Source organism: Homo sapiens, chromosome 16 (assembly GCF_000001405.40).
Source record: "Homo sapiens chromosome 16, GRCh38.p14 Primary Assembly".
Lineage (NCBI taxonomy): Eukaryota > Metazoa > Chordata > Mammalia > Primates > Hominidae > Homo > Homo sapiens.
In genome coordinates, this window is record NC_000016.10 from 81,700,994 (window position 1) to 81,726,792 (window position 25,799).

The 25,799-nt window shown below is 51.4% G+C and overlaps 1 protein-coding gene across 11 annotated transcripts in view, besides 10 other annotated features; it reads left to right on the plus strand.

Moving 5' to 3' along the window:
- CMIP (c-Maf inducing protein) overlaps positions 1–10,769 on the plus strand; it is a 266,955-nt gene extending 256,186 nt beyond the window's left edge. For 10 of the 11 annotated variants that reach the window (XM_047434717.1, NM_198390.3, NM_030629.3 and 7 more), the window contains 6 exons: positions 667–807; positions 1,629–1,676; positions 2,946–3,092; positions 4,506–4,611; positions 6,021–6,091; positions 8,753–10,769. In XM_047434717.1, coding sequence (XP_047290673.1) covers positions 667–807; positions 1,629–1,676; positions 2,946–3,092; positions 4,506–4,611; positions 6,021–6,091; positions 8,753–8,806 — 567 coding nt within the window. In that variant the 3' untranslated portion in view covers positions 8,807–10,769. The remainder of the gene's footprint in view (positions 1–666; positions 808–1,628; positions 1,677–2,945; positions 3,093–4,505; positions 4,612–6,020; positions 6,092–8,752) is intronic. The other variant, XM_011523352.2, reaches the window with a different exon arrangement.
- Positions 3,687–4,188: an enhancer, noted in NCBI's record as "H3K27ac hESC enhancer chr16:81738285-81738786 (GRCh37/hg19 assembly coordinates)". NCBI's record gives its function as "activates a minimal SCP1, AML or CMV promoter by ChIP-STARR-seq in naive H9 embryonic stem cells {active_cell/tissue: H9 hESC(naive)}" and the evidence as "EXISTENCE:reporter gene assay evidence [ECO:0000049][PMID:30033119]".
- Positions 10,546–11,228: an enhancer, noted in NCBI's record as "H3K4me1 hESC enhancer chr16:81745144-81745826 (GRCh37/hg19 assembly coordinates)". NCBI's record gives its function as "activates a minimal SCP1, AML or CMV promoter by ChIP-STARR-seq in primed H9 embryonic stem cells {active_cell/tissue: H9 hESC(primed)}" and the evidence as "EXISTENCE:reporter gene assay evidence [ECO:0000049][PMID:30033119]".
- Positions 11,911–12,592: an enhancer, noted in NCBI's record as "H3K4me1 hESC enhancer chr16:81746509-81747190 (GRCh37/hg19 assembly coordinates)". NCBI's record gives its function as "activates a minimal SCP1, AML or CMV promoter by ChIP-STARR-seq in naive and primed H9 embryonic stem cells {active_cell/tissue: H9 hESC(naive and primed)}" and the evidence as "EXISTENCE:reporter gene assay evidence [ECO:0000049][PMID:30033119]".
- Positions 12,593–13,273: an enhancer, noted in NCBI's record as "H3K4me1 hESC enhancer chr16:81747191-81747871 (GRCh37/hg19 assembly coordinates)". NCBI's record gives its function as "activates a minimal SCP1, AML or CMV promoter by ChIP-STARR-seq in naive and primed H9 embryonic stem cells {active_cell/tissue: H9 hESC(naive and primed)}" and the evidence as "EXISTENCE:reporter gene assay evidence [ECO:0000049][PMID:30033119]".
- Positions 16,147–16,370: a silencer, noted in NCBI's record as "fragment chr16:81750745-81750968 (GRCh37/hg19 assembly coordinates)". NCBI's record gives its function as "represses an EF-1alpha promoter that drives an FKBP-Casp9 reporter gene in an ReSE screen in K562 erythroleukemia cells {active_cell/tissue: K562}" and the evidence as "EXISTENCE:reporter gene assay evidence [ECO:0000049][PMID:32094911]".
- Positions 16,695–16,774: an enhancer, noted in NCBI's record as "active region_11197". NCBI's record gives its function as "activates an Ori minimal core promoter by ATAC-STARR-seq in GM12878 lymphoblastoid cells {active_cell/tissue: GM12878}" and the evidence as "EXISTENCE:reporter gene assay evidence [ECO:0000049][PMID:35858748]".
- Positions 16,795–16,994: an enhancer, noted in NCBI's record as "active region_11198". NCBI's record gives its function as "activates an Ori minimal core promoter by ATAC-STARR-seq in GM12878 lymphoblastoid cells {active_cell/tissue: GM12878}" and the evidence as "EXISTENCE:reporter gene assay evidence [ECO:0000049][PMID:35858748]".
- Positions 17,862–17,911: an enhancer, noted in NCBI's record as "active region_11199". NCBI's record gives its function as "activates an Ori minimal core promoter by ATAC-STARR-seq in GM12878 lymphoblastoid cells {active_cell/tissue: GM12878}" and the evidence as "EXISTENCE:reporter gene assay evidence [ECO:0000049][PMID:35858748]".
- Positions 17,991–18,285: an enhancer, noted in NCBI's record as "tiled region #4528; HepG2 Activating non-DNase unmatched - State 22:ReprW, and K562 Activating DNase matched - State 5:Enh". NCBI's record gives its function as "activates a minimal TATA promoter and a strong SV40 promoter by Sharpr-MPRA in HepG2 and K562 cells {active_cell/tissue: HepG2 | K562}" and the evidence as "EXISTENCE:reporter gene assay evidence [ECO:0000049][PMID:27701403]".
- Positions 23,605–23,853: a silencer, noted in NCBI's record as "fragment chr16:81758203-81758451 (GRCh37/hg19 assembly coordinates)". NCBI's record gives its function as "represses an EF-1alpha promoter that drives an FKBP-Casp9 reporter gene in an ReSE screen in phorbol 12-myristate 13-acetate-treated (for megakaryocytic differentiation) K562 erythroleukemia cells {active_cell/tissue: K562(+PMA)}" and the evidence as "EXISTENCE:reporter gene assay evidence [ECO:0000049][PMID:32094911]".

Here is a 25,799-nt window from a genome sequence, read left to right on the forward strand (position 1 = left end):
AAGTTCTAGAACTGAGCACCATGGCATGCACCTGTAGTTCCAGCAACTTGGGATGCTGAGGTAGGAGGATCACTTGAGCCCAGGAGGTTGAAACTAGCCTGGGCAACATAGCAAGACCTCATCTCAAAAAAAAAAAAAATCGTCATTGGAAAGGGAATGTCAGAGGCAGGGCTGTCAGGCGTGTTGACCCCCAGGCCGAAGAGCCACATGTGCAGTCATGAGGCCCTCTAGGAAGCTGTGTGGTAGATGGGCCCAGGGCTCTGAGCCATTCCGTGAGTTTGAGCACCTACTTCATGACAGCCACTGGGGAAGGAACTGGGGAGAGAGAGGTGTCTTAACTTCTGGCCTTTCCACCAGTGCTCAGGGGCCTGCAAACATCCCCCGGGGGCCTGCCCCATGTCCAGACACCGCACGGTAAGCAGATGCCTGGGAGACTCCCATGTCCATTGACATTTGAACCTGGAGAACCTCAGTGCGTGGTCACTGGTGCTACCATTGTACAAGCAGGAAGTTGGGCAGGTGATTTGCCCAGGCTTACACAGCCGGGGCTGCAGAAAGGGGATAGTGGGGTTGCTGGTTTTCAAAACAAGGCCCTTGGGGTGCACAGAGTGTGCTGAGCTAGGGTGGCAGGCCGGGTCCGTAATGCACCCCTGCGGTTCTGGACAGATCCTGTGCTTGATGCTGGAATACAACATCATCGACAACAACGACACCCAACTGCAGATCATCTCAACCCTGGAGAGCACAGACGTGGGGAAGCGCATGTACGAGCAGCTGTGTGACCGGCAGCGGGAGCTGAAGGAGCTGGTGAGTCCCCGGCTGCTCCGGACCACTCCCCTGCCCAGCAGGCCAGGGGGGGCCAGGGCGGGATGCGGGGCAGCTAGTACTTGGACCTGAGTGGACCTCAATCTCGTTGAATTCTCCTCCAAACCCCAGAAATTGGTATTACCACCTGCCACTTTTCAGGTAATCAAAGAGAAGCAAAGCAATCCCCAGAGTCACACAGCTCATTGGGGCCTGGCCAGGACATTGCCCACCCTCCCTCCTCCATGTCCCTTAGACCCTTCCATTTCAGTACATGGGGGACCCAACTTCCAAATGCCAGCACCCACACCTCTTTGCTGAAGGACTTTGTATGTCCACATGCATATACTCACACATGTGTACACAGAAGGACGGAAGGGGCAGGAAATTCATGCCTTCTGATCTCCTGGAGCAGCCCTCAACCAGTCCCTTCTGGGGAGAGTGTGTAGAAATACCCCAGCTCCCTCACCCCTTCAGTGAGATATGTTTGAGACATGGCTTCTCCACCATTTCTTAGAGTCCCCCGGTGGGATTTGGTGCCAGTACCCACCCAGTGATAGCTGGATTGATAACACCCCTTCCATTATAGGTAGCCACAGTGTCACTTCCCCACTCTCCCACTGGTGTTTCTTGGGATCACCCTCCAGTAAACCACCTGTGCTCAAACCTCATCTCCGGGTTTGCCCCTGAGACCAAGACCACCGTGTTGCCTTGTACCACCAAGAAAATAACGATGGCTCCATGAGTGTTGTTAACAGAGGTGGAAGTCTAGAATGGAAACTTGGGGAAAAGAATGGTTGTAACCAGCCTGGTTTCTGTTGCAGCAAAGGAAAGGCGGGCCCACCAGGCTAACACTGCCCTCCAAGTCCACAGTGAGTTGGTTTGGTTCTCTTTGGGGCTGGATGGAGAAGGTGGGTTGGTCCTCTCTGTTGGGGAACGGCAGGTGGTGTCTGCTGCTGAGATGGGAGGTGATGGAGGGCGGGGCACAAGGACCCCCTAGTACTTAACACGCCAGCTCTTCCAGGAGGTAGCTGGGTTACAGGAAGAGAAATGAAAACCAAAAAGGAAGTTAAAATATGATACAGATTGTTGGTGATAATAGTGTTGATATCTAGTTATTAATAGTACTTGGAATAATAGCAGATATACCTTGAGCATTTGTGTGTCAGATGCTCTTCTATTAGTTTGTTTTATCCTCACAGCAACCCTTGGAAGCTTGTGTATCTTACCATTCGCATTTCACAAGGTCTTTAAGGGTCTTATTTCCTTCTATTCTGATGCCCCCATTATATTTGACACATGGCTTCTACTTCCTGGACCAAAAGGGCTGCTCAGGCTCCAGACCTCTTGTCTCCATTCCAGCCAGCAGGAAGGAGAACGTGCCCCTTCCTCTTAAGAAACTTCCTGGAAGTTCTACTTGACATGTCTACTTACATCCCATTTTCCAGATTTAGTGTGTGGGGCCACACACTAAATCAGCCTTCATTCCGGGCAGCCACAGGGCCGCTGACACTCAAGGATGGAGGGGAGTGTGGAGGTTGTCTTAGGAACCTCCCAGTCCGGTGCTCAGGCATGCGCTGGTGTCTTCAGGCATTAGAGTTGAGTGTGGCCTCAGTGTTGGCATGAGCTGCTGCCCAGGAGTGAGGCAGCCAGTCACACACCCTGATGCACAGACACAGACACACAGAGACACACCAACACACACACACACAAATATACACAGACGTGCACAGACACACACATGTACAGACACATGCATACACAAACGTGCACACAGACACACACAGATATACACACATACAGGCACACACACACAGACACACACACACACAGACGCCTGTGGGAGGATCGTGGCCTTGGAACACCCCGCTGGTGCCTCAGGGTGTGAGTCACAGCACTGGAGGCTTTCTCCTCCGCCTGGCAGCTGTCGTCCATGGGATGCGTGGCAGCCCCTCCCTCTCTGGCCACCCCCTTGGCCCATCCCACCGAGCTGTGCCCCCATCTCAGCTCCTGGGATTTACCGCCCCCCAGGAACAGCTCTCTGTAGGGCGAGGGGAGAGGAGGAGGATAGGGGATAGGAGGGCTCAGGGTCTCGGGAACTCCCAGCAGCACCCTCAGGCCTCTCCCCCGTCTGCCCGCAGGACGCTGACTTGGCTCGTTTGCTGAGCTCCGGCTCCTTCGGAAACCTGGAGAACCTCAGTTTGGCCTTCACCAATGTAACCAGTGCCTGCGCCGAGCACCTCATCAAACTGCCTTCGCTCAAGCAGCTGAACCTGTGGTCCACTCAGGTACGTCCTCCCGCCCTGCTGCAGTCCCCCACACCCTCCTCCTTCACCTCTGCACTCTCCTCCCTATTCCCCCGTACCATCTTCCTTTCCCCTCAGCCTCCTCCCTGCCCCCTCCCCCTCCTTCCTGCCCCCTCCCCCTCCTCCCTGCCCCCCTTACTCTCCTCCCTGCCCCTTCACCCTCCTCCCTGCTCCCCTCACCCTCCTCCCTGCCCCCTCACCCTCCTCCCTGTCCCCCTTACTCTCCTCCCTGCCCCCTCACCCTCCTCCCTGCCCCCCTTACTCTCCTCCCTGCCCCTTCACCCTCCTCCCTGCTCCCCTCACCCTCTTCCCTGCCCCCTCCCCCTCCTCCCTGCCCCCTCCCCCTCCCCTACCCACTTACCCTCCTCCCTGCCCCCTCACCCTCCTCCCTGCCCCCTCACCCTCCTCTCTTTCCCCTCACCCTCCTCCCTGCCCACTCACCCTCCTCCCTGCCCCCTCACCCCCCCACCCACTCACCCTCCTCCCTGCCCCCTCACCCTCCTCCCTGTCCCCCTTACTCTCCTCCCTGTCCCCTCACCCTCCTCCCTAACTCGTTCACCCTCCTCCCTACCCCTTCATCCTCCTCCCTGCCCCCGTCACCCTCCTCCCTGCCCCCTCACCCTCCTCCCTGCCCCTCACCCGCTTCCCTGCCTACACCCCAGGCATTGCTTACCACACGACCCTTCCCTCAAGCTCAGCACCCACTCCCTGAGGCTAGAGGAGGTTGAGGACCTCATGAAGCCCTGCAGCCCATTTCCCATTTGGAAATAATGTGCCCAGTTCCGAGTCCTGAGGTTCTGAGAGGTAGAGCTGAGACGTGAGCCAGGCTTCGCTGGCCTGCGGGGGGCTGCGCAGGAGGCTTCTGGGTCTTTTTGTTATAGTAACACCAGTGGCTGCTGAGTCCCAGCTCAGTGTGAACTGCACTGCTCAGTACTCTGCACAGGGCAGATGAAGGGGCCTTCACTGCACACCTGTGAAGTGCAGGTTCTACCCTCACCCTAATTTTCCAGAGGAGAAACTGGGGACAGTCCCTGCAGCCTGCCCCCGGCCCAGCCCTGTCCTTCCACTGTCCACCCAGCAGGAGAAAGCCACCTAGGCAGCATCTCGAAGCTAGGGAGAGACAAGTTCAAAGCCCTCCTTCATGGAGGCAAAACTGACTCCAAGGGGGCCCTGGCCTGGCTCCACTCCCAACAGCAGAAGCTGGATTCTAACCCGGTTCAGAGAGGCGTGGGATTGTTTAGGGGACGTGAACGCAGCCCAGACCCCAGGGCTTGGTGGGCCATGGGCCTCAGAGCCAGGCTCTGTCCCCATCCCTTTCCTCCACCTCTGCCCCAGCCTCAGAGTCACTTCCCCAGGAGTGGCCGGGAGAGGGCTGAGAGTTTCTGTGCTCTACAGTTTGGAGACGCTGGCCTTCGGCTCCTGTCGGAACACCTCACCATGCTCCAGGTGCTGAACCTGTGCGAGACCCCGGTCACAGACGCTGGCCTGCTGGCCCTGAGCTGTGAGTGCCTCCGGGGCAGCTGGGGGGTGAGGGGCCGCTTGATTCATTCCTTCCTTGCTTCAGCCAAACTGGCCAAGCACTGACTTTGCACCATGCACAGATAGAGAAATTCGTTCATTCACAAACGTGTTCACTGCACACCTGCTGTGGACCAGGCACCATTCCATGTGCCAGGAACAACACAGGGAAAAATATCCCTAACCTCAGAGAGCTTATATTCTAGAGGCAATAGAAAAAATGAGTAAGGCCAGCCCATAGCCTCTTGACACTCACAGTCCACTGAGGGGTCGAGTTCAAGGACGGGGCTGTAGTACATTGCCACTGTGGTCCCCTGACCAGTGGTGGCAGCGTCTTCTGGGGGCTGGTCAGAAATGTACATTCCCAAGCCCACTCCAGACCTCCTGACTCAGACACCGTACGGTAAGCAGATGCCTGGGAGGCTCCCGTGCCCGTTGACATTTGAGAAGCCCTGTCATAATAGAAGGAGGCACAGAATTCTCAAGGAACCTAGAAAGGCCAGTTCCTGTGTGCCAAACCCCAGGTGACTGAACTAGCCTCAGGGATATTGAGCCCGGGATTCTGTATTTGACCAGCTTTCCCTTTTCCAGGCCCACTGCTTTAGACGGGAAGACCCGTGGCTCAGTGGGAAGAGTCAGAAAAGGCTTCCCGGGGAGGTGCTGTTGAGTCTGGGTGTGAAGACAGATTTGTGGGAGTTGGCCAAGGGGGAGGCACCCTGAGCAGGGGCCATGACTCCTACCGGGCCGCTGGCAAATGCTGGGTGGCTTGGGAGGAGGTGGGAGCAGGTGACTGGGTCAGTGGAGGCAGAGCGGCAGCGCTCGGCCAGTTTGGCTGCAAATGCAGATGCGCTGCTTCCACTGGAGTCCCCCGGGGGGGCGCGGTCCTCATCAACAGCACAGATTCCTGGTCCCTGCTGCGGCCCTGCTCAGCGTCTCTGGGAGTGGGTGGAGGGGTCTGCCCCCCGTGCGACTCCAACACAAACCAGAGGTTGAGGCTTGCTTTCAAGAAGCAGCACCGAGTCAATGACGACGGGGGGACCATCCGGGGTTCCCTTAGTGGGGAGGCCTCGGGCCTGATCTGGGGTGTGGCAGGCAAGCTCTGGGGACATCAGGTCCAGGCAGTGGGGGCACACGACAGAGGGACCAGAAGGGAGGGAGGCTCAGAGGGTGGGAAGAAAACGAAGGCTCTGTTCAGACCAGCACGTGCCTGAAATAGACTTTCGGTGTCTAGTGGGCCACCTACCCTGGCTGTGTCTACGAAACCTCCCTCCCCAGCCCCATCTCCTAACAGGGGGCCTGGCACCTGCATTGAGCTCCTCCAGCTTGGCCATCCCATACCTTCATACCTTTGGGGCCTCGCTCTCCTAACAACTGTATCTGTCTCTTGTGCAGCCATGAAGAGTCTCTGCAGTTTAAACATGAACAGCACCAAGCTCTCAGCTGACACCTACGAAGATCTGAAGGTAATTCCCTCCTTCCTCCCCACTCTCCTCCCCTCCTTCTTCTAGCCAGCATCTGGATGCTGGTGCATCTCCTGCACAGAGCTCGTTCTCCAGTAAAGGATGATGACATCTACAGATCAATACATAAAATAATGGCAGATCAAAAAGAGTGACAAAGAGGAAGCAGCAGGGAAGTAATTGGAAATAGGAAGGCCTGTGTGGCCTGGGGTGATCAGGGATGGTGCCTTTGATGAAGAGGCCGCAGGAGCTGAGACCCAAAACATAAGAAGCCAGAAATACCAAGGGCGAGAGGAAAAGCAAGTGCCAAGGTCCTGAGACAGAAGAGATGGGCGAGGCCTGGCTTTGCAGCAAATGTAACCAGGAACTGAGAGAGGGAATGGGCTGGGGCCGGATGGAAAAAGCCCTCACAGGTCACAGCAGAGCAGCGAGTCATGCTTTTCAAAGCATGCTCTGGCTGTTAGGAAATAAATATTTTGAGAGGGAGCAGGAGTAGAAGCAGGGAGGGTTGAGCAGGGCTGGTGCCTCACCACTGAGGGCTGCGCTGCACCGGCACTAGGCCAGCAAGTGAAATCCGGGAAAGAAAAAGGATCGGAGGGTGGAAGGCAGGGGCGTTTTAAGAAACACACGTGCACATCTTGGGAAGGTTGGAGGAGCCAGGCCCTCAGTCGCCTCCTGTCACCCCGTCCTCCTGGGCCTGTACCAGCTGCCCCAGAAGGAGCGGGCGGGACTGGCAGAGGGCCAGCATCCTGGGAGAGAAGGGCTGGGCTCAAAGGTGAGAAGGCACAGATGGCACCCGTGAGCCACGCTGGCACCTTCGTGCTCTGGAAGCTACTTAGAGGGAATCCCCCGGCAGCCCTTGGCCGGGGCCCACCTCCTACAGCCAGGCCTCCTGCCGCCAGGGCGTGCTCACTGGGGCATCCTCCAGATGCTTCTGGAGCCTCTGCTGTGTACCAGGCCCATGTCAGGGACAGGGACACCGAGGTGTGGCTGCCACAGTCCCCTTCCGGGGGATAGTCCCTCCTGGCAGGCACAGGCAAGCTCAGCAAACCAAGGCGGGCAGAGGGCCTGGTGGGGCCAGGAGGGACAGTCGGTAGAGAGCGAGGTCCAAGAGAGGACGTATGGGACACAGAAGGTGGCAGGGGCACAGCCAGCAGATCACCCATCCCAGCGTTTAGACCTCAGCCCTCAGGGTGGCGTCTGCAGACCAGCACCCTCGGCACCACTCGGGGGCCAACAGAAATGCAGGATCCAGGCCACCCCAGGTAACCCCACCCTGGGGGATTTCTGGGCACACTCGTGTTTGAGAAATGCTGCCTGGATTATCTTGAGTTCAAAGTGCTGAAAGTCAGATGCTACTGTGAGACCAAGCTGGAAAGAGAACATGGGGAGTGCAGGAAAGGCCCCTTGGGAAGAAAAATCACTTTCAGTCGATTTTTTTATTTTCACACATTTGAGAGAGACATGGTGCCAACTTAATGCTGCCAGCCTGTGACCGGCCTCCCTGTGGAGGGGACTCGAGCAAACAGCAGCTGCCTGTCCTTTGGAGGAGGGGCCTCTGCTCAGTGCCAGGCAGGCCACGCCCCACTGTTCACTGCCCAGTCTGGCCAGACCTTCCCATTTTTCAAGAGAACCTTGAAATCTAGATTCGTCTGTGAAGTCTCCTAATTTTGAAAGGCTGGCTTAGTATGCTTTATAGCACTGCAGGTGGCTGCAGGTCCCCACCTGTAACCTCTGCCTGGGCAGTGGGGAGCCATTGAGGGTTGTTGAGCACAGGAGAGCAGCAGCGAGGAATTGCATGTGCATGTGTGTATGTGTGTGTGTTCATGCATACATACGTGTACATGTATCCAAAAAGTGTGCTGGCCAGTGTACAGGAAAGTTGGGAGGGAGGATGTAAAGGCATGAGGCCAGTTAGGAGGCAGCTACCTCTCTGTATAGTGGAGGCTTGTTAAGAAAAAAAGCCAACTGTTCATAAAGAAAAGTGGAAGTCTGGGTAGCAGAAACAGAAAGCAGAAAACAATGGAGAGACATAGCAGGTGGAATCACAGAGTCGAGTAATGCATCCAGCCTAGGGGGAGCCTCAAGTGGGAAGAATCTAAGCCAAACCCTGGGTACCTGGGATTTCCTGGGATCCACGTCACTCACCCTGTCCATTCTCTGATAACGATGAGAATATCACTAACAGTAAAAATGAGAACAATTTCCTTTCATAGGGCATATACGGTGCCCTGGGCTTTCTACATTTGGTATTTAACCCCTAGCACCATCCTTTGAGCCAGGGACTAGAGTCAGATGGGCCCACAGAGGAAGAAACTGAGGCCCCTAGAGGCTGGGTTATCTGCCCACGGTCACGCAGCAGCAAGTGGCAGGGCCTGGATTCAAACCCCAGTGCTTCCACCTGCGAAGACAGAGACCAAAGGCCATCTGAGGCGGGGGCATGGGAACCCCGCTGCCTGGTTTCTCCGGGGCCAGGGCACATCCCACCTGCTCTGTTCTCTGCCTAAGGCCACCCACCCCTCCAAGAGCCCAGGTAGCCCACAGCACCAAGGTGGGGAGAGGGTGGCAGAGACCCCCAGCCGGCAATGCGGGTGGAGCCAGGCACTGGCAGCTTCTGCAAGGGAATGGCCTACACGTGACAAGGACTCTTATTGCCACCCCCAGGCCAAGCTTCCCAATTTGAAGGAAGTGGACGTCCGCTACACCGAAGCCTGGTGAAGCTCCCAGCTCAAGGCAGGAAGACGTTTGCAACCGCGACAAAATAACTCTTGACTAACAGCCGCAGAGCAGCCGGTCCTGGGGTCCCACCCTGGTGCCCTGGCTGTGAGATAGATGGGGAGTCTTTCTGGGGGCGGAGGGGGGAGGGGGTGGGGAGGGGGCCCACAAGCACGCCCAGCCCCCGCCGAATTCTTTTAGCTTCGTAATTGGAACCTTTGACCTGATCTAAAGTGGACTTTGTAGCAACAAGAGGAGCATCAGCGGGTCGGGGAGGGGTTTGGGGGTGGGCTGGGGGGTGGGGGACCCTTTGTGGATTTTCTTTGCCTTTGTGTTTGATGCCGTCGTGTGGGAAAAGTCAACTCCGATGCCACCATTGCGGGCCGGACGAAGGATGCTTTCTTCCTAGAGGCTCCGAGCTGAGCTGCGAACTCGCCCCCCGCCCTTGGGACAAGAAGACCCAGTCACATCACTGCACCCGTCCTGTGTCCTCACCATTGCTATGCAAAGTGATTCTTGTTGTACATAAGATTTAAATAATGCACCTATTTAAGACATGTTGACAAATTGCGGGTCTGGGACCCGCCTCTTATTTATGAAGTCTTTGACCGTCCCCCCCGCCCGACCCCACCGCCCTCCCGCCCCCACCTGGCGTGTAGTACTGTATAAACCAGTCAGCTGTCGGGTTAGTGGTAGTATTATTGTTATTTTTTTAAAGGAAACAAACAGACAACAAAAAGAAGAAAAAAAAAAAGAACCTCCTTGGAAAAATTAATTGCTTTTTCGTAATGGATTCTCTATGCTAATGCTCTCTCGTCTGTCTGTCTGTCTGCCCACTCCCCCACCCACCACTGTGCGTTTCTGATTTCCAAATGTCTCCAACTCCCTCACGAGGTGGGGCTCAGGCTGGAGGAGGAGGGATTAAGATCCCCTTGCTCCACTAAGGCCCAAGCTCTTTCTCTCGGCACCTTTTAGACTTGAATGGGAGGCTGCTAACCCGCCCTCTCCAGTCCACCCCGGTAAAAGAGCTGTTCCCCACCCCCAGGGAGCTCCTGTCCCTGTCAGCCTTTGCTGTCCCCTGTCCCCAACGGAGACTCTGTCACCCCTGGGCTCCCCCTGCCATCGTGTGCTTCACGTGGCCCCATGCATGCCCGCCTCTCTGCATGGTCTCTTGGGAAAAGAGAGATGTGTCGCCTCCGCCAGTCCGACTGCCCTCCCCACCCCACCCCCGCCACCCCCCACATGTGACCACTGCAACGAAGACACTCCTTCTGTCCCCACCTGCTCCGAAGACAAACCAACCTCCGTTTCTTTTATAAACAGTCGGCTTTTTCTTAATAAGCCCTCACTGTACAGAACAGCCCGTTGATGGTTTATTTGGGGTCCCCCTCTCCCCCCAGCCCTTTTTTCTGTTGGTTTAGCACAAATACTTCCCTCCTCCGGCACCTCCAAACCTACCCCACAGTCAGTGTACTTGTTTTATATATATTTAATCTTATTCAATGGAAACCATGCTTTTGTCGTTTTATACTTTGCTAGGTAGACTTTATTACCCCCCCACTATGCCCTCATTTTTTTAAAAAAGGAAAAAAAAAAGAAACTGGGTTCCAGTCTTAATTCATTTTCCGTGCCAGGTTTTATTTCGTGTGTGTGTGAGTGTGTTCTGTTTTGTGTTTTGTTTTTTGTTGTTGTTTTTAGTTGTTTGGTTTTCTTTTCTTTCCCCCCTCCGGTCCCATACTTCACAGCACTCTGGTGCGGGAAGAAGCAGAAGCAAAAAAAATAAAAATAAAAAAATAAATAAAAATAAAAAAAATAAAAAAGGAAAAAAAAAAAAGAAGAAACAAGACATGCCACCTTTCCCCTCGCACTGTTGCTTTTCCTGATGGTTAATACTACTGTCACGTAGCTGTGTACAAAGAGATGTGAAATACTTTCAGGCAAAAATAAACTGTAAGTGACTCATCAATGTCTGGCCTTTGTGTGGTTTCTCGGCGCCCAGCGGGAGAAGGTCCAAGGAGGGGGCGAAGCCCAGGCGGGAAATCTGAGGCTCAAGACAGTGCCGGGATGCCCTCGCCACCTTCTGTGCGCACTTCCTGAGGACCAGGGCTCAGCATCCTGGCTGCTGTTGGCCACTGGGGCCGGAGCTGTCTTCGTTGCAGGGGGGCTGTTGTGTTCATTGCCAGACATTGAACAGCATCCTTGGCTTCTACCCAGCAGTAGCACCCCTTCCCCATTTATGACAACCAGAGTGTCTCCAGATGTTGCCACGTGTCCCGTGGGGGGATAGTTCGCTCCCCAGCTGAGACTCCGTGTCATAGACTGAGGTCAGTGCTGCTGTTCAGCAGGGCCTTACGAAAGCTGTAGCCCAGAGCTACTCCAAGGAATGTGCCTTCCATCCACCTAGGGGGTCTTGTGAAAACGCAGATACTGACGCCATAGCGCTAGGTGGTGCCTGGGAATCTGCATTCCTGACGAGTTTCCAGGTGATGCTGTGCTGCTGGTCAATGCCAGGTTCCTAGACCCACACTTCAGCTGCCTCCTCCCCCTAGATGTCTCCAAGAGGCAATCTTGACAAGTCCAAAAATAAATGCTTTATCTTGGCCAGGCACGGTGGCTCACTCCTGTAATCCCAATACTTTGGGAGGCCGAGGCGGGTGGATCACAAGGTCAAGAGATCGAGACCATCCTGGCCAACATGGTGAAACCCTGTCTCTACTAAAAATACAAAAATTAGCTGGGCGTGGTGGCGTGTGCCTGTAGTCCCAGCTATTCGGGAGGCTGAGGCAGGAGAATCGCTTAAACCCGGGAGGCAGAGGTTGCAGCAAGCCGAGATTGCGCCTCTGCACTCTAGCCTGGCGACAGAGCAGGACTCCGTCTCAAAAAAAAAAAAGTAAAGAAAAAATGCTTTATCTTCACCCCTCTTCCTAAACCAGTCACCCTTCAGGGTCCCCCAGCTCAGCAGGGGTATCCTTGTCCTCAGCCCAGGCATGTCCTGCCTCCACATGCTGACAGAAATCCAGGATGTCCACGAGCCAGTCCTCTGCCTCTCCACCATGGGCCCGGCCCGAAACCAGCTCTCCAGAGACTCTGTGTCTGGAGTTGCCCCCTGCCAGCCCCCACCGTCCCCACACCATCCAGCTCCCTCTGCTACCTGCCCCACCTCTCTCTATGCCCTGGTGGCCTCCTTCCAGAGGCCTCTGCCAGGTCTTTTTAAGACAGGTGAGAAGGCTGGGTGCGGTGGCTCATGCCTGTAACCCCAGCACTTTGGGAGCCCGAGGCGGGTACATCACCTGAGGTCAGGAGTTCGAGACCAGCCTGGCCAATGTAGTAAAACCCTATCTCTACTAAAAATACAAAAATTAGCCGGGTATAGTGGCCCACACCTGTAATCCCAGCTACTGAGGAGGCTGAGACATGAGAATCACTTGAACCTGGGAGGCGGAGGTTGCAGTGACCCGAGATCTCGCCATTACACTCCAGCTTGGGTGACAGAGTGAGACTTCATCTCAAAAAAAAAAAAAAAAAAATAGTGTCAGTCACTCAGCGGCGCCTTCCTCAGGTCACACGGAGAGCAGGCGCTATGGAAAAAGGACAGGAGGGCTCTTGACTGCGGGGGTGAGAGGCCTCACCAAGGACATCAAATGAACAGTCCAAAGAGCCCTTGGCTGCCTGAGCTCCCATCCTCAGGCCAGAGGACCAGCTAGTGGTATAGACGTGTGCATGCGCGAGCCAGACGCTTCAGCCTGCTCCATGTTGCCTTCTCCACCGGCGTAGGGCCTGGCTCACCACAGGTGTTCATTGCTCCAAGGGTTGGGGGAAGATGTAGCCGGGGGCCACTCTCAGCCTTCCTCCCTGCTCTGCCCCGCAGCAGCTGGGCTCCTCTGCCCACTGGGTGAAGCTGGAGAATGCAGGCTCCCCGCTGGAAGAAGTAGGGGGTGTCTTCCCTGGCATCCCAGCCGCTGTGCCCGTTGCTGGCAGGAGTTGCCTCCCTCCGTGGGCTGCTCACCAGGATTCCAGCTTTCGAGGTAACACAGCTCCCTGTCTCGCCCCTTCAGCCTTAGCCTGGGAACTGCCCCTCGCTGGTTCCTGGGTGCCTCAGCGTCCCTAACCCTGCCTGCACCTCTGCGATGCTCACACCTGGCCTGTGCCTCCTCCCAGCTGCACTGAGTTACACCACGTACTCCCCTCGCCCTTCAACCCAGGGGTGGTGATAGCTCCCCTGGTTACTGGTTACTGGTTCCTGGGTTCCCGGGTGCCTCTGCATCCCTTGCTAATTACCTAGCCTGGAGCCCCGCCCACCCTTCATAGCTAGCGCTTCTTTCCTTCTCTCCAGAATTCTCTTCTCTCTGAGGGGTCTCTGCGAGGACCTACCTCAATGACCATCCCCCACCTCCAAGTAAAACCAGCAACTGTTGGTGCCAGCCCCAAATGGGCCCAGTGAGAGTCCAACAGAGATCTAACCCCGTGCTGGGGACAGCGGTATTAATTCAGAATTTTTTTTTTTTTTTTTTTTTTTGAGACGGAGTCTCGCTCTGTCGCCCAGGCTGGAGGGCAGTGGCGCGATCTCGGCTCACTGCAAGCTCCACCTCCCGGGTTCACGCCATTCTCCCGCCTCAGCCTCCCGAGTAGCTGGGACTACAGGCGCCGCCACCACGCCCGGCTAATTTTTTGTATTTTTATTAGAGACGGGGTTTCACCGTGTTAGCCAGGATGGTCTCGATCTCCTGACCTGGTGATCCGCCTGCCTCGGCCTCCCAAAGTGCTGGGATTACAGGCATGAGCCACCGGGCCCGGCCTAATTCAGAAAATTTAAGGCAAATCCTGTCATTGGGAGCAGTGTGAAGCTCAACCAAGAGGGCAACAATTGGATTCTTACAAACAGCTCTGGGGCTGCCTGGCAATGCACATCTCCACGTTGCCCCACTTACAGCGCCTGCCTTAGAACGCGCTGTCTTCCGGTCTCTTACACTGCAGTGTGAATGGCGCTCCCCAGAGTTGTGCAGCATGAGAACCTGGTGAGCTGAGCTGTCATTTGTGACTGACAGGCTGCTCTAAAGCTAGCTAGACTTTGCTAGAAGCTCCCCCAGAGCACAATAAGAAAAAAGAGATCAGAGAATCTTGGAAAAGGGCTTGGCCTCATTCATTCATTCATCCATTCATGCATTCAGCAATTCATTATTGAGGACCTGCTTCCAACAGGTCCAGGGGGAGTGCTAGAAAACATGTGAGAAGAAGCAAAAGACCTACAGCTCAATAACAAAAAACCAAATAACCCAATTAAAAAATGGGCAAAGGTCTGTCAGAATTCGATAGAAATAAACATGGGCAAAGGGGCCAGGCGCGGTGGCTCATGCCAGTAATCCCAACACTTTGGGAGGCCGAGGCAGGCAGATCACAAGGTCAGGAGTTCAAGACAAGCCTGGCCAACATAGTGAAACACCACCTCTACTAAAAATACAAAAAATTAGCTCGGCGTAATGGTGAACGCCTGTAATACCAGCTACTCGGGAGGCTGAGCCAGGAGAATTGCTTGAACCGGGGAGGCAGAGGTTGCAGTGAGCTGAGATCGCGCCACTGCACTCCAGCCTGTGTGACAGAGCGAGATTCTGTCTAAAAAAAAAAAAAAAAAAAGTCACTAATCGTCAAGGAAATGCAAATGAAAACCACAATGAGATACCACCTGACACCTGTGAGGTGTGGCCATCATCAAAAACAAAAGAAAACAAAGGTTGGTGAGTGTGTGGAGAACAGGGGAACCCTGGTACGTTGTTGGTGAGAATGGAAATTGGTGGATAGCCACTGTGGAAAACAGCAGGGAGCTTCCTCAAAAAATGAAAAACAGAACTACCATATATGATCCAGCAATCGCACTTCTGGGAACATATCCAAAGGAATTGAAATCAGGATCTAGAGAAGAGATCTGCACTGTCATGTTCACTGCAGGACTGTCCACAACTGTCAAGATACAGAATCGGCCCAATTGTCCCTCAGCAGATGAATGGATAAAGAAAATGTGATATATACACACAATGGAACACCATTCCAAAGTGGTGTCCTTTACGCCTTTACAAAGAAGGGAATCCTGCTCTTTGCAGCATCGTGGAGGAACTGGAGGGCATGTGTGCTAAGTGAAATAAACCAGGCACAGGAGGACAGATACTGCATAATACCACTTCTATGAGGAATCTAAAATAATCAAACTCATAGAAACAGAAAGTGGAATGGTGGTTGCCAAGGGCTGAAGGGAGGGGGAAGTGGGGAGGTATTGGTCAAAGGGAACGAAGTTTCAGGTATGCAAGATGGAAAAACCCTTGAGAAGTACCATACGCATAATGACCATAGTTAACAATATTACAGTATATACTTAAGATTTGCTAAGCATGGAGATGTTATTATCACACACAATCGTAATAACAAATAACTGGGGCGGGAGGAAACTTTTGAAGGAGATGGAAAGGTTTATGGCATAGACTATGATGTTATCCCCAGGAGCAATTTGGGGAGGTTCAGACTCTTGGAGCCAGACGCTGCATGACCCCTAAACTGAAATTTCTAATCTTGTAGCTAATTTGTTAGTCCTGCAAAGGCAGTCTGGTCCCCAGGCAAGAAGGAGGTCTTTTCAGGAAAGGGCTGTTACCAATTTTGTTTCAGAGTCAAGCCATGAACTGAATTCCTTCCCAAAGTTAGTTTGACTTACGTTCAGGAATGAACAAGGACAACTTAAAGGTTAGAAGCAAGATAGAGTCGGTTAGGTCTGATTTCTTTCACTGCCATCATTTCTCCTGTTAAAATTTTGCAAAGGCAGTTTCAGTATGGTTTCACGGGTGTATGCTCATCCCCACACTCACCGAGTTGTATGTGTTAAATATGTACGGCTTCTTGTATGTAACCACCCAACAGGTTCACCACGCCCACTGCCTAGACAGGGCCAATTGATCAAGATAGGGCCAATTGATCAAGACAGGGGAAATGCAATGGAGAAAGAGTAATTTACACAGAGCCAGCTGTGCGGGAGCCCAGAGTTTCATTTTTATTCAAATCAGTCTCCCTGAATATTTGGGAATCAGAGTTTTTAAAGATAATTTGGCGAGTGGGGGCTTGGGAAGTGGGGAGGGCTGATTGGTGGGGCTGGAGATGGAATCACAGGGGGTTGAAGTGAGGTTTTCTTGCTGTTTTCTGTCCCTGGGTGGGATGGCAGAACTGGTTGAGCCAGATTACCTGTCTGGGTGGTGTCAGCTGATCCATGAGTGCAGGGTCTGCAACATATCTCAAGCACTGATCTTAGGTTTTACGATAGTGATGTTATGCCCAGGAGCAATCTGGGGAAGGTTCATACTCTTGGAGCCAGAGGCTGCATGATCCCTAAACTGAAATTTTTTTTTTTTTTTTTTTTTTGTGAGACGGAGATTTACTCTTGTTTCCCAGGCTGGAGTGCAATGGCACAATCTCGGCTCACCACATCCTCCACCTCCCAGGTTCAAGCGATTCTCCTGCCTCAGCCTCCCGAGTAGCTGGGATTAAAGGCATGTGCCACCATGCCCGGCTAATTTTGTATTTTTAGTAAAGGCGGGGTTTCACCGTGTTGCCCAGGCTGATCTCGAACTCCTGACCTTCCTGACCTCAGGTGATCCGCCCGCCTCGACCTCCCAAAGTGCTGGGATTACAGGCATGAGCCACTGTGCCTGGCCCTAAACTGTAATTTCTAACCTTGTAGCTAATTTGTTAGTCCTGCAAAGGCAGTCTGGTCCCCAGGCAAGAAGGGGGTCTTTCTGGGAAAGGGCTCTTATCAATTTTGTTTCAGAGTCAAACCATGAACTGAATTCCTTCCTAAAGTTAGTTCGGCCTACACCCAGGAATGAGCAAGGACAGCTTAAAGGTTAGAAGCAAGATTGATTTGGTTAGGTCTGATTTCTTTCACTGCCGTCATTTTTCCTGTTATAATTTTGCAAAGGCTGTTTCAGCATGGTTTCACGGCTGTATACTCATCTCCGTAATCATCAAGTTGTAAGCGTTAAATATGCATGGCTTCCTCTGTGTTAATTAGACCACAATAAAGTGGTTTAGAGAAAGAAGAAACAGCAGCAAGAGACATGGCCCTTGTCCTCCAGGGGCTCAGCACCCAAGCATGCTGGCAAGGAGTCAGTCACATACTGCATGGCAAATGCCATGACAGGACACTAAGGCAGGCACAGATGGTGGGCAGTGAACCCAGGCCTATGGGCATCACGGGAGACTTCCTGGAGGAGGTGGTATTGTTGAGAATGAAGAATGAAAATGTTTGCTGAGTCACCAGAGGGGAAAAGGGAGTGTGCAAAGACTTGGCAACAGACCAGAGCCGGATATAGGCTGGGAACGGCCAGTGGGAAGTGTGATGGGCTTGGGGGTGTACGGTTGTCAGGGTTGAATTGTATCCCCCAGAAAAGAGACATTGAAGTCCTAAACTGCAGTTCCTCAGAATGCGACTTTATTTGGGAATAGGGTTTTTACAGAGGTGATCAAATTAAAGTGAGATCATTAGGGTGAGCACAAGTTTAATATGACTGATACCCATTTGAGAAGGAGAAATTTATTTATTTATTTATTTTTATTTTTATTTTTATTTTTTTGGAGTCTTGCTCTGTCGCCCAGGCTGGAGTGCAGTGGCATGATCTCAGCTCACTGCAACCTCTGCCTCCCAGGTTCAAGTGATTCTCCTGCTTCAGTCTCCCGAGTAGCTGCAATTACATGCGTGTACCATCATGGCGGGCTAATTATTTTTTTGTATTTTTAGTAGAGACGGGGTTTCACCATGTTAGCCAGGCAGTCTCGAACTCCTGGCCTCAGGTGATCCACCTGCCTTGGCCTTCCAAAGTGCTGGGATTACAGGCGTGAGCCATCATGCACAGCTGGAAGGAGAAATTTGGACACAGAGATATGCATAGAGGGAAGTCAGAGTGAAAGGACAGAGACAGGAAGAGGCCACATGAGGATGAAGACAGAGCCTGGAGTGGTACAGCTGCAAGCCAAAGATGGCCAGTGAACACCAGAAGCCAGGAGGGAGGACGTGGCAGCTTCCCCTTCGCAGCCCTCAGAAAGACACCAAGACTGCGATTTCCAGCTGCCAGACTGTGAGAGGATGAAGGTGAATCTCTTATTTTAAGGCATCTTCTTTTGGATACTTTGTTACTAAGTACTTAGTTACAGAATATATCAGTTGTAGCAACTTATCGCAAACTGGGTGGCCTAAAACAATAGAAACTTGTTCTCTAGCAGTTTGGAGAAGCCTAAAATCAAGTTGTAGACAGAGCTGTGCTTCCTCTGAAAGCACGGGGGAGGACACATGCCCTGCCCCTGCAGCTTCCGGTGGCTCTGGGTGCTCCTTAGCTTGTGGCTACAGCGCTAGCCTCCACCTCCATCTTCGCATGGCCTCGTCACCTGTCTGTTCTCTCCCTTCTTATAAGGACACATGCCACTGGACTTAATAGCCAAAAAGTGGAAGCAAACCAGGGCTCACCTGGATGATCCGGGATGACTTTGTCTTGAGATCCTTTATCACAGCTGCAATCTTTGCAGTTCCAGTCTCGTCTCGTCTCGTCTCGTCTCGTCTCGTCCCGTCTCGTCTCGTCTCGTCCCGTCCCGTCCCGTCTCCTCCCCTCTCCTCTCCTCCCCTCCCCTCCCCTCCCCTCCCTTCCCCTCCCTTCCCCTCCCTTCCCCTCCCTTCCCCTCTCTTCCCTTCCCCTCCTCTCTTTCTGGGTCTGGCTCTGCCACCCAGGCTACAGTATAGTGGCACAGTCATGACTCACTGCAGCCTCAATCTCCCATGCTCAAGTAATCTTCCTGCCTCAATCTCACGAGTAGCTGGGACTACAGGCGTGCACTACCATGTCCAGCTAATTTTTAAAAATGTTTTGTAGAGATGGGGTCTCACTGTGTTGCCCAGTCTCATCTTGAACTCCTGGGCTCAAGTGATCCTCCCACCTCAGCCTCCTTAAGTTTTGAGATTACAGGCATGAGCCACCACACCAGGCCCCAAAGACTGTTTTTCCAAATAAGGTCACATTCACGGGTTCCGCGTGGATGTATGTCTGGGGGCCATCATGCAGCACACTGTGAGAGGAAGGTGGAGGTGAGACCAGCCAAAACCTAATGAATCATATTTAGGAGTCTGGGATTTGTCCTGAGAGGTATGTGCAATTGTAAAAAAAAAAAAGGTTGCAATTATTTTACTGATTTTTAAAACAAAACACTTATATAGCACTGTCTGTGCACCAGGCACAGTAGGAAGGGTTTTATAGGACTACACTGATGTACTATTCCTAGCATGCCTACAAGGCAGGCGCTTATATGACCCCTTATTGATGGGGAAGTGGAAGCCAGGAAAGTCTGGATCTCTTGGTCAAGGTCCCACAGTAAGCAGGGCACAGAGCCAAGGTTATAAGCCAGGCACTATAGGAAGATCCCTCCACTGTTGGTAAATGGATGGGTGTGGGTCTGGGACTTGGACCCTGTGGAGAAAATAGACAGATTCAAGGGAAGCTCAGGCTTAAAATAGCAGCACATGGTGGTTGGTACGGAGGGAGGGTGCACATGGAGTCAAGGGTGACTTTCAGTTTCCTTGGCTTATTTCCTAAGACAGGCTGCAAGGGCCTAGAATTAACACCTCTGCCCAGGCAGCAGCCCTCAACCAATGACAGATGGGAGGTGGTGTATCAATACCCCGGCTCCCTCACTCCTCATGGGAAGTGGAGAGTTCTGAGGCCCATGTTCTCCTCTGGCTCCCAGGGTCCCTCCCTGGGATTAATCTCCAGCTGCCCTCAGTGCTCACGGGCTTGTTAGGATTTCCTTCCCTTCTCCACCTCATTTTCCATTGTCCCATTGGTATTTCCTGGGACCAACTCTCAAATGAAAATCTTTATCTCAGTGTCTGCTTCTAGGGAAGTCCAGACTAAGACAGTGACTAACTATGTTAGAAGACAGAGGAATAGGTTGAAGGGGCAGCCCTTCCCAAGGCAGGCCAGGAAGACTCTACCAGGAAAACTGCACAGTCACCAGGTATACCTTCCTGGACCATCAGTGACAGAGGGGCCTCCTGGCCAACCTGGTAGGTGTCTGCCATTGGGAGCCTGAGAACCAGTTTGCATTGTTTTCAGAGATGGGGGTGGTTGCTGAAAGAAACTCTCATGCATCACTAAGGGAGGATAGATGGGTTCAACCACTTTGGAGAGCCAACCTACTAAAGTTAAACATATGCCTACCCTAGGACCCTGCAACTTCACTCCTGGATGTGCAGGAGAAGAGCTCAAGAGCACTGAGCTCATCCATCCACCAGAAGACGCAAATAAGAATGTTTATAGTGGCATTAGTTACAATAGCCAAAAAGTGGAAGCAACCCAAATGTCCACTGACAGGAGAATGAATAAACAAACTGTGGGAGAGCCAAACAGTGGAGCAATACCAATGTCTCCATTAACGGGAGAATGAAAACATAAACGGTGACATATTCATAAGATGGAATTCTACAAAACAGGAGAAAAAGAACCGACGACTGATATGCACAATGACATGAATTAATTGGGTAAGTATTATGTTGTGTGGCAGGAGCCAGAAACAAAGGATTTGCTGTATGATTCAATTTGTAGAAATTCGTGAATAGGCACAAATCACCTATGATGACAGAAGTCACAACACTGGTTATCTCTGTAAGGGGGATTATTATTGACTGGGAAGGGTGATACAATTAGGCTTTGTGTCCCCACCCAAATCGCATCTTGAATTGTAATCCCCAGGTGTTGAGGGAGAAACCTTGTGGAGGCGATTGGATCATGGGAACAGTTTTGCCCATGCTGTTCTTATGATAGTGAGTGAGTTCTCATGAGACTGATGGTTTTGTAACTGTTTGGAAGTTCCTCTTTCATTTATTCTTCTCTCTCCTGCCACCTTGTGAAGAAGGACGTGTTTGCTTCCCCTTCCGCCATGATTGTAAGTTTCCTGAGGCCTCCCCAGCCATGCAGAACTGTGAGTCAATTAAAGTTCCTTTGTTTATAAATTAGCCAATCTTGGCTAGTATCTTTATAGCAGTGTAAAAATGGACAAATACAAAGGGGAGGAGGGAACCTTCTGGGTTCCACATCTTGATCTGTGGCTACACAGACGTTTACACATTCACAAAACTCTACTCTTCAGATTTGTGTAAGTTACCATATATGTTGCACATCAAATCTTAAAAAGTGGCATCAAGTGGAAACACTCAAAATTTTGTCCATTTATGTTGCCTTTAAAAGCATAAGAAAAAATAAATAAAATTATAAAACAGGGGCCAGTCACGGTAGCTAATACCTGTAATCCCAGCACTTTGGGAGGCCGGGGCAGGTGGATCACCTGAGGTCAGGAGTTGGAGACCAGCCTGACCAACACAGAGAAACCTCGTCTCTACTAAAAATACAAAATTAGCCAGGTATGGTGGTGCATGCCTGTAATCCCAGCTACTTGGGAGGCTGAGACAGGACAATTGCTTGAATCCGTGAGGCAAAGGTTGCAGTGAGCCAAGATTGCCCCATTGCACTCCAGCCTGGGCAACAAGAGCAAAACTCTGTGTGAAAAAAAAAAAAAAAAATTAAAAGAGAAATTTTGTCCATCACAAATAAATAAATATATAAATGTGGTACACATAGACAATGGAATACTACTATTTGGTCATAAAAAGGAATGAAATACTGATACATTCTATGATTCAGATGAACTTCAAAAACCTCATGCTAGGTGAAATGAGCCAAACACAAAAGACCACATATTGTAGGATTCTGCATTTGGAATATCCAAAACGGGCAAATGTATAGGGATACAAAGCAGATTGGTGTTTGCCAGGGGTGGGAGGGAAGGAAGAATGGGCAGTGATTGCTTAGTGGTTGTGGGGTTTTCTTTTAGGATGAGGAAGATGTTTTGTAACTAGAGGTGGTGGTTGCACACATTGCGAATATTCTAAACATCACTGAAATAAAAACGTTAAATGGTTTATGTTTCATGTATTTCACCTCAATAAAAAAAGCAACATCAATAAAGATTGTTTGTTTTTGTTTTGAGATAGGGTCTTGCTCTGTTACTCAGGGTGCAGTGCAGTGGTTCGATCGTACCTCTTAGCTCACTGCAGCCTCCAGCTTCTGATCTCAAGAGATACTCCTGCCTCAGCCTCCTGAGCAGGTGGGACTCCAGGTGCACACCCCCATGCCTTGCTAATTTTTTATTTTTTATTTTTAAGAGACAAGAGCCTCACTTCATTGTCCAGGCTGGTCTCAAACTCCTGGCTTCAAGCAATCCTCCTGCCTCAGCCTCCCAAAGTACTGGGATTACAGGCGTGAGCCACTGTGCCAGGCAAGATTTTTCCTTTCAATGAAAAGATGGCTGCTCCTCCCCTCTGTTGTGTCTGGACTCAGGATGGGGAGTGGTGGCACCCTGACTTCTATCAAAGCAACACTCGTCCATCCTAGTGAAGCCTCTGGGTGAACATTGTGTCCCTTTCTTAAAACACTCTACTGCCATCTGCTGGAAAACTGTCACCATAAATATACAAACCTATGGTGTGAACAGACTCCCATAGATGTGGCACACTTGTGCAGTGCACAACCTGCACGTGTATACATGGTAGGATATTTGACTTTATTTTTTCAGTGTACTCTATCCACATGTAGACGAGGCCGTGAAAAATCTAGTGTTGCCTTTCCTTTCTGTCCCCACTCCAATGCTGATACTAACTAGAAATAGAAAATTGACTGAGTCTAGAGCTTTGCTACTCAAAATGTGATCCACGGATGCACAGCCTTCGTATGGTGGGAGAGTCTGCTAGAAATGCAGTCTCAGGATCCACCTGGACATGACGAATCAGAATCTGCATTTTAATTATTTTATTTTTTTTTTAAGATGGAGTCTCATTCTGTCACCCAGGCTGGAGTGTAGTAGTACAATGTTGGCTCACTGCAGCCTCCACCTCCCAGGTTCAAGTGATTCTCCTGCCTCAGCCTCCCAAGTAGCTGGGACTACAGGCACCTACCACCACATTCAGCTATTTTTTGTATTTTTAGTAGAGACAAGGTTTCACCGTTTTGGCCAGGCTGGTCTTGAACTCCTGGTCTCAAGCGATCTGCCTGCCTTGGCTTCCCAAAGTGCTGGGATTACAGGCGTGAGCCACTGTGCCCAGCCGAGTTTATTTTAGAGATACGATCTGACTCTATCATCCAGGCTGGAGTGCAAAGCAGTGATCATACCTCATTGCAGCCTTGAACTCCTGGGCTCATGGGCCCCATCGATCCTCCCACCTCAGACTCCTAAAGTACTGGGGTTACAGGTGTGAGCCACCACACCAGGCCTGAATCTGCATTGGTTTTTTTTGTTTTTTGTTTTTTTCTTTGAGATGGAGTTTCACTCTTGTTGCACAGGCTGGAGTGCAATGGCATGATCTCGGCTCACTGCAGTCTATGCCTCTGCCTCTCGGGTTCAAGCAATGCTCCTGCCTCAGCCTCTTGAGTAGCTGGGATTACAGGTGCCCGCCACCACACCTGGCTAATTTTTTGTATTTTTAGTAGAGACAGGGTTTCGCCATGTTGACCAGGCTGGTCTCGAACTCCTGGCCTCAGGTGATCTGCCCACTTCGGCCTCCCAAAGTGCTTGGAATACAGACATGAGCCACCACACCTTGCCAAATCTGCATTGTTAACAAGGTCTCCTGGTGATTCGCGTGCACACAGAATTTGAGAAGCGCTGCCCTAGAAGCCTTGGCTACACATTGGAATCACCTGAAGAGCTTTAAAACATGCTGACTCTGGGATGGGGCCTGGATGTGTGACTTGGAAAAGCTTCTTAACTGATTCTCATGTGCAGCCAGGGCTGAAACCGCTGGTCTAGAAGCCTTGCTGCTCAATGTGTGGCCTGTGGAGAGCTCATGATAAATGCAGAGCTTCAGGGCTCACCCCAGACCTCCTGAGTCAGAATCTATGTTTCAACAAGATCTTCAGGTGTTTCTTGTGCACTTTCAATTTGGAGCAGCCCTGGGCTCAGAGCTGGCGATGTCGATTGCAGAGCCCAGTGTAAAGTGACAATGCAAGCTCCCTGTTCAAAAAATGATTAAGAATTTTAAGAAAGCATTAGCAGAGCATTAAACCAAGCACAGGACCCTTCGAAGCTCAGTTCTGTGTGACTGCGCAGGTTGCATGTCCAAGAAGCCTGGGCTAGCTTCCCTCTGATTTGTCAGGGAGATGCCTGTCAGCAAACAAATCCATGTGCAGGATCCACTCATCACTGTACTGAAACCTGCCTTTCGGGGCCATGAAACTTTCCCTGGAGCGTTTTGGGTCATCTCTGCAGAACGACAAGGATGAGGACAGGATGGAAGAGACTCCTTCTCGCACCCGGCGACAGTTCTCTAGGCTGTTTGTTCTGTAACTGTGCCGGTAAGAGCAATGCACTGTTTCCCCGCCCCGAGAACACCAGGCATGTTCCTCCTCTTTGATTTGCCAGGGAGGAGAAGGGGCTTTCAGATCCACTGGGAAGGAGGCTCTGCAATCCCAGCTACTTGCTGGGACCAGGATTACCCTAGAAGCAGCTCCTCTCTGGGGCTCTCCCTATCCATCCACTGGCTACTGCTGGGCAGGGCAGGTGGGGGACAGTGATTCCCTTGTGGGCTGTTTTGTGAATAGCAGTAATGCATTTCACAGCCCTGGAGACGTGTCCATCACAGATAGGGGATGCTCCAGGCCACCCCTGTTCAAAAGAAATAGAAGACAAGCCACGTAGATAAATTTAAATGTTATGGTAGCCGCATTTTAAAAATTAAGAAGAAATAGGTGAAATTAATTTTGACAATACATTTTATTTTCTTTCTTTCTTTCCTTTCTTTCTTTCTTTCTTTCTTTCTTTCTTTCTTTCTTTCTTTCTTTCTTTCTTTCTTTCTTCCTTCCTTCCTTCCTTCCTTCCTTTTTTTTTTTTGATTGAGACGGAGTTTCGTTCTTGTCACCCAGGCTGGAATGCAATGGTATGTTCTCGGCTCACTGCAACCTCTGCCTCCTGGGTTCAAGCGATTCTCCTGCCTCAGCCTCCCAAGTAGCTGGGATTATAGGGGCTCACCTCCACACCTGGCTAATTTTTTTGTATTTTTAGTAGAGATGGGGTTTCACCATGTTGGCCAGGCTGGTCTCAAACTCCTGACCTCAGGTGATCCGCCTGCCTTGGCCTCCCAAAATGCTGTGACAATATATTTTATTTAACCTCACATATCCAAAATATTATCATTTCAATGTGTAGTCAATATAAAAAATGACTAATGAGATAGTTTATGTATTTTTCCCCCATACTAAGTCTCAAAATCTGGTGTGTGTCTTGCATTTAGAGCACGACTCAGTTCACACCAGCTACATTTCAAGTGCTCAGTAGCGGCCATCTATACCTGGTGGCTGCTGTGTAGACAATGCAGTTCTAGAATTTCTATAAACCAGTAGCCAAGGCAGTGGCCACATAATAAGGAGTGTGGCACTGACCGGGTGCAGTGGCTCATGCCTGTAATCCCAACACTTTGGGAGGCTGAGGCAGGCGGATCACTTGAGATCAGGAGTTTGAGATCAGGCTGGCCAACACAGTGAAACCCCATCTCTACTAAAAATAGAAAACTTAGCCGGGCATGGTGGCAGGTGCCTGTAGTCCCAGCTACTTGAGAGGCTGAGGCAGGAGAATTGCTTGAACCCCGGAGGCAGAGGTTGCAGTGAGCCAAGATCATGCCACTGCACTCCAACCTAGGCGACGGAGCAAGACTTCATCTCAAAAACAAAACAAAACAAAAAACAAACAAACACAAGAAAAGGAATTGGGGCACTGAGGGGGCAGGAATTGAGACAGCATTTACATGTTGGTAAAATCTTTCTACTTAGCATGCATGTTTACGGAGAGGCTTTCCAAGCCACCGGGGAGCACTGTCCCATCAAACCCCAAGCACTAAAGGTCTCAGGCATGACCTCCTGGAATGGGTTCTGGCAGA